A 15,059-nucleotide genomic window follows, 5' to 3' on the forward strand; every position below is an offset into this window, starting at 1 on the left:
CAAAATAAAGTTTGAAAGATTCTTCTTTTTAATATATTAATGCAATTTGTTCACATTTATTGGGATTGTTAATATGTTACAATTGGTTCCTGCAAAGTTCTTTTGTGTTTCTAATTACAAGGCTATCTCTTTTCTGACTTCTGGTATATTGGGTTAGTGGCCTTCCATTCTTATCATCATTATTCACAATGGGGGTAACACCTTTGCCAATGGCTGCCTGGCAGAGGGTAGGTACTGGGGAAGGGACCATCTTGGCCAGCTCCTCTCAGCACAGCACCTCTCAAACTGTCACCCCGACCACCTCCTACCTTCCTGTGTCTGCTGCCATCCAACTCAGGGCGCCATAACTGTTCTTACCTTTGGACACAGTCTGCTCTTCCATGACTTTGGGCGATGGTTTATCTTTCAGTGTGACTCCATTCCTCAAAAATTTTGGTTAATTGAGAACACCAGTTCATGTTTTCATGCGCTGCTATTGATTTTTTTCTTTTTCTTTTAACTTTCTTTTTTTTCTTTTTCTAATGATATATTGTGCAGGGACAGGCAGGAGTGTGGCTTAATTTATAATCTTTATCTCATTATGGTGTATTTCTGCTTTTTTCTGTATGTATTATTTTATTTTGATGTAATTTTGATTATTCAATATTTGCATACACAATGTTGTGTCCTGATTTTCCACTTAGCATTTTAACATAAGCATTTCCCCCATACTATTATGAACCATTTAAAAACTTTCATTTTACTATCTGCATAGTCCCATCAAGGAAAAATGTCCAAAATTCCTTATTATTGTGAATTTAGGTTATTTTCACTTTTCTGCTATTATAAAAAGATGATAAAGTTACTTGCGCATATAGCTATGTTTTATTTTGAATTGTAGTCCTAGGTGGAGTGTTGAGCTTCTTATAGATTCCTAGCAAAGAGTATAAGTCATTCAGATTTGCTCTAATTTTAGTAAGACAGTGTATGTGCTCAGAGCACAAAGCTTCTTTGTGCTATTGAGGTTCTTGTGTATCATGTGTCACTGAAAACCAGGAGGCTAGGACAAATCTTCAACTAGGATTAGGCCTAGATTTAGGATATAGTATTATAACTGTTTGGATGCCTGTGGATACTGTAGAATGTTCTTGGCTGACATCACTCTCAGGAGGGTGAGTTATGGCAAAATCGACCACATTTTCTGGACTAAGATGGGAACACATCTCATATGTGCTTCTTTATCTGTACTATTCAATATGATAGTCATTAGCAACATGTGACTATAGCATGTGAAATGTGGCTAGTCTGAACTGAAGCCTGCTGTAAGTATACAATGCACATATAATTTTTCAGTATAAAAAATATTTGGCCAGGCACAGTGGTTCATACCTGTACTCCCAGCACTTTGGGAGGCCAAAGCAGGAGGATCACTTGAGCCCAGGAGTTCGAGACCAGCCTGGGCAACTGTTCAATATGATAATCATTAGCAACATGTGACTATAGCGTGTGAAATGTGGCTAGTCTGAACTGAAGCCTGCTGTAAGTATACAATGCACATATAATTTTTCAGTATAAGAAATGTTTGGCCAGGCATGGTGGTTCATGCCTGTACTCTCAGCACTTTGGGAGGCTGAGGCAGGAGGATCGCATGAGCCCAGGAGTTTAGAACAGCCCAGGCAACATAGGGAGATACTGTCTCTACAAAACATTTAAAAATTTGTCAGGTGTGGTGGTGTGCACCCGTAGTCCCAGATACTCTGGATACAGAGGCAGGAGGATCTCTTGAGCCCAGAGGTCGAGGATGCAGTGAACACTGATTGCACAACTGCACTTCAGCCTGGGCAACAGAGTGAGATCCTGTCTCAAAAAAAAGTTAAATATATCATTAATGTCTTTATATTGATTTCATGTTGAAATATATGGCTCATATTATATTTATTTTGGCCGGCACTGTTATAGTTCATTCATTAGAAGATCAGGGATGTATGAAGCCATGTTTCTTACCTCCTCTTCTGTAATACCTTATAAGTAATTTTCTGATACACTTAATTAACACTGCAGAGGGACAATCTATTTCATCTGCATCAGCAGCAGCTCCGTTGCCGTCCTTGAATCTGAGCATGTGAATCTAAGGTTCATGGTTTCCTTTCTGCTCTGTACTTTCTAGCACTCCTGCTTCCTGAAGGTCAGTGGAGGTTCTCAGGGACTATGTTAGGTGCTCAAGAGCACTTGGAATAACTTCGAAACAGGAAGCTTTAGATTAAAAGTGCACTATTGCATAAAGTAGTTCCTACATGTAGGAACATGTAGATTTGCCAGTTTATTCATTCAACACTTATTTACTGAATGCTTCTATGTGCTAGTCACTGATGTAGACACTTGAGATACGCCAGAGACCAAAGACAGAGATCAGTGCCATCTTGGAGCTCACATTCTAGCAGGGGGTATGAACGGTAAACAATAAACATTTAAATAAGTCAACTACATAGGATGTTGGAAGGTGATAAGTAGGGTAGAAAAGAAAAACAATAAGAGGGATTCAGAGTGCTGGAAGTAGTGGGGATAGACTGCAACTGTAAACAGAGTGATCAGAGCGGGCTTCACTGAGAAGAGACATTTTAGCAAAGACTTGAAGGAGGGAAGGATGATAGGTGTGTAGACATTTGGAAGAAAAACATTTCAGGTAGAGGCAACAGCTGTGCACAAGGCTTCAGGCTGGAGTGTGCTCAACATGTTTGAAAAACATTAAGGAAGCAGGGGTGGCCAGGAGGAGAGCAGTAGTGATGTCAGAGGTAAGGGGGCTTCACAGATCACTGAGAGCCTTACAGGCCATTGTAAGACTTGGGCTTTTACTTTGAGGGCAACGGGAGCCACTGTGGGCTTTAAGGAAAGGAGTCACCTGCTCTGGCCTACATGTTTAAAGGATCACTCAGACCTCATGTTGAGGTTAGACTTCAGGTAGGCAAGGAGAGAGGTCATGGTGGCCCCACTAGGTGGTAGCAGTGGAAATGGTGACAATGTTACATTTTGATGTATAGTGAAGATGGAATCAACAGGATGTTCTGACAGGTTGGATGTGAGGTATGAGACAAAGATAGGAATCAAGGATGACTCCAAGTCTTGAGCCAGGGCTATTGGAAAGATGGAGTTGCCTGCCATCAACAGAGGAGGGGAAGGCGGCAGATGGAGCAGGTTTGGGAGAAATATGGGGAGTTACATTTGCGTAATTATATTATCTATTGCTCTATAACAAAACATCCCAAAATCTAGTAGCTTAAGACAATGACCATTTATTATCTCACAGTTTTTGTGGGGCAGGGATTCAGGAGTGGTTTAACTGGGTGGGTTGGGCTCAGAGTTTCTCATAAGGTTCTAGTCAGGATGTGAAGCAGGGCTTTAGTTTCTGAAAGTTTGTCTGGGGCTGGAAGAGCCACTTCTAAGATGGCTCACTCAAGTGGTCACTGGCACAAGGTGAGCCTCTTCATAGACTGCCTGAATTTCTGTGTAGCTGGCTCCCTCCAAAGCAAGGGAGCCGAGAGAAAGAGAGAGGAGAGCTTAAGAGAGAGCAACCAAGATGGAAGCCTCAGTGCTTTTTCTGACCTGGTCCCCAAAATCGCATGCTGTCATTTTCACCTTTTTCTATTCATTAGGAGGGAGTCACTCCAATTCAGTCCCATACCAAGCCCCAGATCTGAGGAGCTGCCACCAGTTCTGCTCCCGATTCTCTCCTGGCTCAGGTTTCTGAGGCTGTCTCAGTGAGTTTAGACTCACTGGCACCTGTCCCATGGGCCCCCTCTGGGCTGTCACAGGGACACCTCACCTGCCCACAGCCACAGCTGAGAGAAGACACCTCTGCCCAGGCCCCTTCCCAGCCAGAATCCAGGAGTATTCCAGGGGCTCCCACTGCCCCTGTAGACCCCATGCCTGACGTGCTCCCCTGCGAGGGCTCAGTCCTCATCTCCCCCAACCTGACCCTGTTGGCAGAGACTGGGTGCTGTGATCTGGATGAGCCATCCTGTCCTCAGGGAGGCTTTGTCCCGCTGACCAGGCCTCTCCTCTCTCCACCTGCCCCACTTTGTCTCTGTGGTTCTCACAGTCCATGACCTTCCTGGCCCATCTCTGCCCAGGCCAGCCTCTTGCTTTTATAAAAAACTGAAATTTCAGCACCTGCCCCAAACAGGGCCCCACACAGGGCTGGTGTTTATGCCTTGAGAATTCTTACCTCTACTCATTAAAGCAGAATGAATACAGCAGCCTTCTTGACTTCCTCCCCTGATATTATTTTCAGTGACCTGTTTTTCTGGAGGGTGCTGTGCCCTGCGGCGAGTCTGTGCAGCAAATCACAGTGAGGTGGTTTTTAGCCAAGTGTTCCCGGGGGGCAGGGCACATGCCTCAGGTCCCTTTTTCCTCCATGACTCAGCGGTCACATAGAGAGCAGCAGCGCAGACCCTCAGTGCCTCCCCTCAGTCTGGTCCGTGGGACTCCAGGTGAGCAGAGGTGCCGGCTGAACGGACAGGCCCCCTTCCCCTCCTCTTTCTGACTTCAAATCCCAAGCAGGAACGCAAAGGCCCTGGCCCTGCTGCTGAGCCAACCTTTGCCCCATATGGAGAAGATGGGGTGAGGGCTCCATGGGAGCTGGGGAGACTTTGCCTTGCTCTCTGCTACCCCGAGGCAACACTGGGGGATGGGGCCCAGGAAGTGGAATATCCCAAGGAGAGCAGGGTGGAGTGTGCCCTGGATGCCAGGCTCTCATGTCACTTCCTAAACCACGTCTCCAGGCTTCTTGGGCCCCACAGGATGTGACCAACACAGTGAAGGGGAACATTTGGAAAGAATGTGGCGGGCGGACTCCACACCCAGAGGGGAGCCCCAATCACCTCTGACGTGCTCTGTCGTCTGAGAAACGCAGGCCAGTGGTAGCTGCAAGGATGGGACAAGGCCATGTGGTATAGCCATGAGACCTTAACCTTTCCAGAGAGGCCAAAAGAAGCTCCTTCAGTCCCTCCCCTGCTGGGGTCTCTCATGGCGGAGCTACTCTCCACCTTTTGCCATTCGTCTGGGCTTGTTTGAGTCCAAGTCAGCAACTAGTTACTGCTCCTGCTCCGAAGTGAGATTTGCAACCCAGGCCACTCTCAGTGCATTTTCCTCCTGTGGGAGTGGCCGTCCCCAGGTGGCAGCCTCACACTGATGGCTCCATGTTCCCAGGTCCTGTTCTCCAGAATTCCAGATGCTGATTGGCCCTGCCTGGGTGCTAGTTCCTAGGAGTCCTGGGGCATCTGAGCAGGGGAGCTTGTGTCGGACCTTCTCAGCTCTAACTTCCCCAAAGAAGTCACTTCTTCCCAGAGACCCTGGCACTGTCCCTACTTTCCCTTCTTTCCTCTTCCTCAGTTCTGCCTCCTCGTCACTTGGAAGCTCATTTTCTGGAAGCAAATAGCTTCTTAATTAGGTACATCTTCCACTTGTCATGCCTGTCCGCTTCTAACAGGGGAAGGCCTGTGGTGCTGATTGCCTCTGCTGCTGTCTGTGCACCTCAAACAGTTAGTGGGGAGTTTGGGGATAGGGCAGTGGAGTGGTTGCCAGGATGAGGGAGGTAAATATTGATCCCGCATGATAGTAAAATCCAAGTGCACAACACTGGATGCCTGTCCTGCCCACATTTAAAACTGCACTTATTGCCATTATCTCATTTAGTTCCTAAAGCCCCAGGGCTGCCATGTGTGGTTGTATAGGTTGTTCACTGCACAAGGTCGCCTAGTCTAGAAACAAGTAGGAGCTGAAATCCAGTCCATGCTCTGCTTGACAAGACATGTACCCTGGCTTGGGGCTACATTCACCCGAAGAACAGGGTGGCTTTACTATTTGCTCTCACAAAGTCAGGCACTAGTGGGGCTGCATAAGCTCAGAAGAAAGTTTTTTTAAAAAATTTACACCAGGGGGCACTATAGGCTATCAGTGTCCCTGCATGACATTCCTATGACTGTCACAGAGCAGGCCTGATAAACTCCCTGTGGCAGAGGAGGAGATTGAGACATGGAGATGATAAGTGACTTGCCCAAGGGCGACCAGTCATGGTAGAGCAGGAATCTGGTCATGGGTCTCTTTAGTGCATTTCCCTGGCTCTGCACCCTAAGCAATTCTCTCTGGGCTAAGCATGGGTGAACACAGCCTCTGCCTTCCTGACTTTTCTTTAAGCCCAGGCTTCATTCCGCTCCTGCTCAGATTTTGTTCACTGGTAATTTCCTGGAGTGGAGTGGGAGAAACATGTGAGTGCAGGTGTGAGTGCTGGTGTGAGTGCAGGTGTAAGTGCAGGCATAGTCATCCTCCATAGCCTTGGGGGTCTAGCAAGAGCCCCTCTCCTCCAGCGCAGTGCACCTTATCCATTTCATTTCCTTCTTAGATGCTGGAGGCCTATACCACCAGCAAAACTGCACTGCTGGGACTCACCAAGCCCTTGGCTATAGAGCTGGCACCAAAGGGTATCCAGGTGCCCCGCCTGTTGCCAGGAATCATCAAGAACTGACTTTAACCACATGATGAGGGTTCAGCAGCTCCCAGTTGCCCCCACCAACCACTTTGTTGGTTTCCCCAGTCTGGCCATGGCTTTGTGAGACCAGCAGCCTCTCACTTCCTGTATCTGCACCAGGGCTGTCCTCTCTGGGAGCAGTCGAGGGACTGCAGACCCAGCACTGAGCAGGGCCATCTGCCCACAAGGGCATGAGTCTGCCATGGCAGCCTCTCTGGCCCTTCACAGTTCTATTTAGCACTGAGCCTCTGAATTTTTTCAGGTTGAAGATAATCTGGCTCTGCAAAACTCCTTTAAAAACCCCTGTGGATAGCAGAGACAGGTAGTCTTCTCCAGGGGAGACAGGGCTCTCGGACTGTATCCTCACCTATCAGCCCGTCCTCTCACAGAGTCTGGGGATGCACAGCCCATGAGGTGGGATCTGGAGGGCATGAGGGGCCCCACCATATCTCTCTATGGAGCCCAGGCCTCTGATGGGCCAGGGAGGTGGGATTCAGGGCTGGAGGTGGTGCTGGGCCCTATGTTCAGAGCAGCAGGACCAGCGATCAGAGTTCATTAGAGCATAGGCTGAGGCCTCAGTTCTGTTCTCTTTCCATGCAGGGGTTAAGAGGACTGTGCAGGAACCATGTCCTTCCTGCACTCTACAGATGCCAGCTACGTCACTGGGAAGAGCATCCTGGTGGCCGGCTTCTCCCAGAGGCTCTGCAGGCTGTGACTCTGGGTATAGATACTGCACTTTACCCTGGGGACCAGATAGTGATTGGATAGGAGGATGAATGAAAGCCAGGCCCTCGGGGGTGTCATAAGTAGCAGGGGCCAGTTTGCACATAGAATTCTAAGACAGACCCAGTGTAGGGCATGACTGGGGATGGGACAGAGTTGCTTCTTGAGATTTACAGAGCATGAATCTATGGGTTTTTGTGTGTTTTTCTTGGCAGCAAACTTGTTTTGAAACTCCTAACCTGGCCTCCTGGTGTGGTTGGCAAATACAAGTAGCTTCTTTGCCTACAAACACCATCACTGTCTCAGTGGCCTGTTTCCTCACCACTGCCCCCATCCTTAGGAGCTCCTTCCTCTGTGTTTGTCCCAGGATTCAAGCATCTTGAGAACCTAGAAAAGAGAAGCCTTTGCCTGAGGAGTTAAGGATGTGGATCATTAAAAGTGGTGCCAAAATGCCCAGGAGTGCAGCCAACAGCCCACCCCTAGGAGGCCAATGACTCTAAGAGGAGATTCACTCAGTTTTCTCCCTCCCCATTTTCTCACCTGGGAGCCCTGGAAATGATCCTGGATTAGGAATGGAAGATCTGCTAAGAAAGAATTCCTCCTCTGCCACCGTCTTTATCTCCCTGGGCTTCTGTTTCCCTGGCTATTAACTGAGGAGTTGGACTGATAGCCCCACGTCCTCCCCTCTGGCTTTCTGTGAGATGCCACTCAGTGTTTCCCAACACTCTGGCCTCCAGGTCACAATGGTCTCCGTGGTTCCGGCTCTCCGCAGTGGCATGTGCCACTCTGAATGCTGTCACCATTGCAAGGTGATGTCCCCTCTCATGTGGTAGCAAACTTAACCTATCAGGGAGCAAAGAAGCTGAAGAAATCTGGGGCCTTCAAGGGGCATTGCTCAGACCTCAAGCTTCACCCCACACAAAGTGTGCTGTGACACTCCAGTCCTTGTCTCCACCTTCTCCAAGCTCACACCATTAGCTCTGCTGTCTTCTTGTCTATGCTGTGCCATGTCCCCTGTCCCCTGCCTGGCCCAGCCTCCCTGGACCCTCACCTGTCTACCCCAATGGCTATTAAACTGTCACTTCCATCTACCCCTGCAGTTCCACTTCTGTCCACTCTAAGCAGTGGCCTGCCTGTGTACTCCCCAGAGAAAGCAATGGCGATGAGACGGCACTCCTTTAATCTCCCCTACTCTGATCCAAACTTACATCTGCTTCTGTTCTTACCAGAAAGTTCACATATCGGTGGAAGAGGTGCATCTTCCCTCTCCAAGGGAATCTTTCCATATTCACGTTCACTCAGAATCTCATTTTCTCCCACCCCTCTGGGCACCTCGTTCCATGAGCCATCTTCTCTCTTATCTGCAGCTTCAACCTCTTGGAGCACTTTAATCTAAAAGCAGAACAAAACCAACCAACCAATAAAACTCAGACTCTCCAATATCTAGTCATCCTCTAGCCATCATATTCCTTCACTCTTCCCCATTGTAGTCCCCCTCTCTCATGCCATCTGAAAGTTTTGTTGTTGTTGTTTTTGTTTGTTTGTTTTGTTTTGAGATGGAATCTCACTCTTTCACCCAGGCTGGAGTGCAGTGGTGCAATCTCGGCTCACTGCAACCTCCACCTCCCAGTATAAGCAATTCTCCTGCCTCAGCCTCCTGAGTAGCTGGGATTACAGGCATGCCCCACCATGCCTGGCTAATTGCAAGTTTTATTTTCCTACATTTTTGGGTATTTAGAGTTTAGAACCCTGTTACTCTCCACACACTCAAATACTCAGTAGGGTCTTCAAGGATTATTTCCCAGCCTCCCAGGAAAGCCTGTAAGCCTGTTATTATCTACGGTTTTATTTTATTTTCTGTCTTCTCAGAAATTTGCCATTTCTGGAGTATTTCTACAAGGGGGCTTGGCTGCCTGGGCAATCACCTCTTCTTTCACTTCAGTCCTGCTCCAGGGAAAAATTCTCCTAAGTCTCTGGGGAGAGGGGAGCAGCTATCTGCCATAGATTTTCTTCCCAGTTCTGGAAACAAGTTCCTGGCCATAAATGAAAGTCATTGATTTTCAGACGAACTTCCAGGACACATTCCTGACCCTTCCCAAGGGAGTTTACAGTGTGTAACCCCCTGGACAGCTCATAACAGAACTGGGCTGGCCTCTTTCTGCTGGACATAGGGGGCCCCTGTGGTCCATGCTGGAGCTCCAACCCAGCAAAGACGTGTCCCCACTCTCCCCCAGTTGGTATCTCCAGGCTCACAAAGGGGCACTCTGTTTTCCATGGCCACAGCCATGAAGCATTTGGACACCATAGAAGGAGTCATACTGGATGTGAGAAGTGGAAAATTTCCTCGCCCCCACGGAAGCATGGAGATTTACCATGTGGGAATCCCTTCATTAGGGCTTCCAAAGTATGTATTAAGATTCCCAAGCTATCCATATGTCTATGTGTAGAAAAAAGGTAAAACTATATAAGTCACAAACCATTATTTCTTTGGCTCCAGCCCATTTGCTCCTAAGGAGCATGAGGGAGTGTGGTTTCCTCCCACTCCAGTTTTAAGGCACCAGCTACATTTGCACATGGGCTTCATAGACTTTTGCAAGTGGGGGATCTTTCTCATCCTCTCTCCACCTTCTTTCTTCTGCTCATAAAGGAAAGTACATCATACAGTAGCTGAGCCCTTTCAAAAGTGCTGGTGAGGAAATGTCTACCCTTCCCTTCACTTTGTTACTTCCTCCTGTAGTCTGAGGAGGAGCTAAACTGAAAGGTCACATTACTGATGGTGTCTTACGGAAGCAAGGCAGTCTTCTCCGGCTCTATTCTTCTTGGACCACCTGGACTTAGGCAAGCAGGACTTATTTCTGCTAGAACTAGTTGGATTTCTGCTGTGGGTTAAGGATGTTTTACCTGACCTTGCTGAGTACATCAGGTCAGTCCTACTCTGCCAGTTACCTTCAATTTGGAGAGCAGGGAGAGGAAAGCCTTGTTCTCCAATTCAGCATTAACAGTACGAAGGTTACCCTGACTTTGATTCCCATCTGTCTTCTTCCATATAATTCTCAACTTCCTAGAACCCACTAGGGAAGCAAGTGTGATTAGCTCCTTCCAGTGACTATCCCAGTCAGGAAATTGATAGAATACATTTCCTTCCTCTCTGCTCCAGTTGGGCCTGCTAAGAACTCTTGGCTTACTCAGGCTGTTCTAAGGATGAAACTCCTGCTAGGACACCACTGCCTGTGGCCATGAATGTTGGTTCAGATGTGGGTCCTGCATGCCAGTGCTAAGTGTGCTACATTTCATTTACTGCCAAAGCCATTCATGTCATCTCTTGTTTCTGCTAAAGTCAAAGGCCTTGACTGCTGTGGGAACAACAGTTACCAGTTCTCAGGAGGGCTTGTGTTCTCAAAGATGAAATGCTTCTTTTTAATCACACTTACTTAAAATTTTTTACAATTTCATTTTTAAAATCTTGTCTTAAGTACTGGAATTGGACTTCAGGAAAGCTAACAACAATGTCAAGCAGAATCACTGGGAAGTTAAGATTCTTCCAAGAATACTTGTTCAGTTGGGCATACTCATTGCTTTTCAGACAATGATGGGTGAATCCGCTCCGTCAAGCTAGCATCCTTGCATTTCCAACATTATACAACAATTTCTGAATGTATCATTGCTTTAACAAGATGGCCCAGTTCCATCTTGATCTTTTGTGCCGTATAAGGCAGCACTTAGAGAACCTCTGGTTGCTGTGCCAAGGTACAGTGAAACTCAATGAGCCAGATCTACACTCAGCCTTCCTACCCCAGCCCCGCACACGATGCTGAATAAAGTAAGAAACAGAATGAAATTTACATTGCAACATAAGTTTAAAAGTATGCATACAAAATGCCAACATATATTTTAATAAGAATGTATACAAATAAAAAGATACAAATCAAGTGTATTAGAGTGGATGCCTTTGAGTTTGAGGGGAGGGCAATGGGAGTGAAGGTTGAGAATAGAAAGGAATAAGTAAATAAATAAATGAAATAAGAGTGGAGCCTTGGATACACAAGCTAGAGCAATGGAGCAATGGAACAAACCCTGGGTCCTGGGACTGGATGTCATAGCCAAGACAAGCCCTGCATGGTGGAACCACTGAGCTTATAACTCCTTGCTGCCCTCCTTCAATAAGGAAGGATCTTTATGCTTGGCTGGGGCCACAGCTGTACCATGAAGGTAAAGAACGGAGGCGGAAGTGATGAAGCAAGAGAAGGAAATGGACTGCTCCACATGAGGAAGGGCAGGGAGCCACTGGAGAAAGCAAATAAAATATCTGGGAAAATATCTGGTGGAAAAAGTTTGCAAGGGTAAAAGGAAGATGAGAGAGAGATAGAGAAAGAGGTCCCATAGGTTGTGTGTATGTGAGAAAGTACTGATATGTGGAACTTGAAGGTTGCTGGGTCCTAGAGAATGAGCAAATTTGCATAAGAAGCCCAGGAACATTCTGGGAAGACAGCAATGCATCCACATCCTCTTTCAATGGATTTAAAATCAGGATTACCTGTGGCAACTTGACCAAGGGCCAATAAAGCTTCTAGCATATAATATAGCAGAATATGTTCATGATCTCCTGGTAGGGAAATATTTCTTTAACAAGATGCAAGAATGCCAACCATACAGAACAGATTAATATATATGATAACATTAAAATTAAGAACTTTCCTTTTAAAGATGGAATCTCACTCTGTCACCCCGGCTGGAGTGCAGTGGTGCAATCATAGCTCACTGCAGCTTCTAACTCCTGGGCTCAAGGGATCTTCCCGCCTCAGCCTCATGAGTAGCTGGGACCACAGGTGTGCACCACCATGCTTGGCAAGAACTTCTTTTTCTCGATAGATGCTATTCACAGTATTAGAAGGTAAGCCACAGAGTGGGAGAAAACACAAGCAACAAACAACCCAAAAGCAAAGGGCAAGAGACTCAAGCAGACGCTTTACAAAACGGGATTTCTAAATGACCCATGAACATACGAAAAGGTGCTCAGCCACATTAGTAATCAGGGAAATTCAAATTAAAAAATGTAAGATGCACCAGAAAGTTATGAAAGCCTGACAATACCAAGTGTTAGTGAAGATATGGAGCAATAGGGAGCACAAATATACTACTATTGGAAGTTTAAATGGATACCGACTTCCACTGTGGAAAACAGTACAGCATTTTTTACTGAAGTTGAACATACCTTAAGGGACAGCAACTCCACTTCTAGGTACATAAACAACAGCAACATGTGCACCGTGTAGCTTTATTTGTAATAAACCTAAACTGAAATAATCCAATATTCATCAATAGGAGAATATACAAATAAATTGCGGTCTAGTCATAGAATGGCATACTATACAGTTATGAAAATTAATAAACTGAAAATGTATATAATATCAAAGACTGTATATATGTATATATACTCAAATGTAATATGGAGTTAAGTGAATCAGTCATAATAGAGAATATGTTGTATAATTTTATTTATGTGGTGTTAAAAGAAACAAACCCACAAAACTAAACTATAGTGCACAGGAGTACACTTAGTGCTTTGGCAGTAGGGATCTAAAGAGAAGCAAGGTGGTGGTTGGCCGTGACAGTCAGAACACTGATGGAGGGGTAGTAGAGAGAGGGTGCTCACAGGGGAGGATGAAAGGGTCTTTGGGGTGCTGGCAATGTCTGTTTATTGGCCTGGGTGGTTATATGGATATTTACCTTGAGATAATTATTGTGCTTGTGGAACATTTTTGTTTTGCAAACTCCATTGTAGGTGTGTTCTACTTCACAATCTAACTGGACCCCTACCTATCACCATATACAAAAATTAAGACAGATTAAAGGCTTAAATATATAAAACTTCAAGCTATAAAAATCCTCAAAGAAAACCCAGCAAATACTCTTCTCAATATCTGCTTTGGCAAATAATTTATGGCTAAGTCCTTACAAGCAATTGCAACAAAAACAAAAATTGCCAAGTGGGACCTAATTAAACTAAAGAGCTTCTGCACAGCAACAGAAACTATCAAGGGAATAAACAGACAACCTATAGAATGGGAGAAAATATTTGCAAACTATGGGCTGACAAAGGGCTAATATCTAGAATCTATAAAGAACTTAAATCAATAAGCAAAAAAAAAAAACCATTAAAAGGGGGGCAAAGGACGTGAACAGACACTTCTCAAAAGAAGACACATGAGCAGCCAACAAACATATGAAAAATGCTCATCATCACTAATCATCAGATATGTCCTTATGTATGCAATGTTTAGCTCCCACTTAAAAATGAGAACATGCAGTATTTGGTTTTCTGTTCCTGTGTTAATTCGCTTAGGATAATGGCCTCCAGGTGCATCCATGTTGTTGCAAAGGACATGATTCTGTTCTTTCTTATGGCTGCATGTTATTCCATGGTGTATATGTGCCACATTTTCTTTATTCATTCTACTGCTGATGGGCATCTGGGTTGATTCCATGTCTTTGCTATGGTGAATAGCACTACAATGCAAAGAATGCAGAGAAATGCAAATCAAAAGTGCAAAGAAATACCATCTCACACCAGTCAGAATAGCTTTTGTTATAAAGTCAAAAAAATAACAGATGTTGGCAAGGCTGCAGAGAACACTTATACACTGTTGGTGGGAATGAATATAAGTCTAGTCACTGTGGAGAGCAGCTTGGAGATTTCTCAAAGAGCTAAGAGTTGAACTACCATTCAACCCAGCAATCCCATTACTGGGTATATGCCCACAGGAAAATAAGTCATTCTACCAAAAAGACACGTGTACCCATATGTTCACTGCAGTGCTATTCACCATAGCAAAGACATGGAATCAACCCAGGTGCCCATCAGCAGTGGATTGAATGAAGAAAATATGGCACATATACATCATGGAATAATATGCAGCCATAAAAAAGAACAAAATCATGTCCTTTGCAGCAACATGGATGTATCTGGAGGGATTATCCTAATCAAATTAATGCAGGAACAGAAAACCAAATACTTCCTGTTCTCACTTATAAGAGGGAGCTAAATATTGGGTACACAAGGACATAAAGATGGGAACAATAGATACTGGGGACTACCAGAGGAAGGAGGGAGAGCAAGGTACAAGGGCTGAAAAATTATCTCTTAGGTACTATGCTCACTCCATGAGTAATAGATTCATCTGCCCTCCAAACCTCAGGATCATGTAACACACCTTTTAACAAACCTGCACATGCACCCCAGATTCTAAAATAAAGTTGAAAAAAAGTTGCTCCCTCTCCCTCTCCGTCTCCCTCTCCACAGTCTCCCTCTCCCTCTCTCTCCACGGTCTCCCTCTGATGCCGAGCCGAGGCTGGACTGTACTGCCACCATCTCGGCTCACTGCAACCTCCCTGCCTGATTCTCCTGCCTCAGCCTGCCGAGTGCCTGGGATTGCAGGCGCGCACCGCCACGCCTGACTGGTTTTTGTATTTTTTGCTGGAGACGGGGTTTCGCCGTGTTGGCCGGGCTGGTCTCCAGCTCCTGACCGCGAGTGATCTGCCCGCCTCGGCCTCCCGAGGTGCCAGGATTGCAGATGGAGTCTCGCTCACTCAGTGCTCAATGTTGCCCAAGCTGGAGTGCAGTGGCGTGATCTCAGCTCGCTGCAACCTCCACCTCCCAGCCGCCTGCCTTGGCCTCCCAAAGTGATGAGATTGCAGCCTCTGCCCGGCCGCCACCCCATCTGGGAAGTGAGGAGCATCTCTGCCTGGCCGCCCATCGTCTGGGATGTGAGGAGCCCCTCTGCCCGGCCGCCCAGTCTGGGAAGTGAGGAGCCCCTCCGCCCGGCAGCCGCCCTGT

General features: G+C 46.2%; 1 long non-coding RNA gene across 6 annotated transcripts in view; it reads right to left on the reverse strand.

Annotated features, from left to right (window-relative positions):
- Nucleotides 1-7,953, reverse strand: part of LOC105370409 (uncharacterized) — a 29,969-nt gene extending 22,016 nt beyond the window's left edge. For 2 of the 6 annotated variants that reach the window (XR_007064083.1, XR_007064080.1), the window contains exon 1: nucleotides 7,766-7,930. This is a non-coding gene — a long non-coding RNA (uncharacterized LOC105370409). Of the gene's footprint in view, nucleotides 1-4,201; nucleotides 4,308-7,464; nucleotides 7,613-7,765 lie in introns of all 6 variants that reach the window. The other 4 variants (XR_001750657.2, XR_002957608.2, XR_007064081.1 and 1 more) reach the window with 4 other exon arrangements.
- Between the last annotated feature and the right edge of the window lie 7,106 nt (nucleotides 7,954-15,059).

This window comes from Homo sapiens, chromosome 14 (genome assembly GCF_000001405.40).
Source record: "Homo sapiens chromosome 14, GRCh38.p14 Primary Assembly".
NCBI lineage: Eukaryota > Metazoa > Chordata > Mammalia > Primates > Hominidae > Homo > Homo sapiens.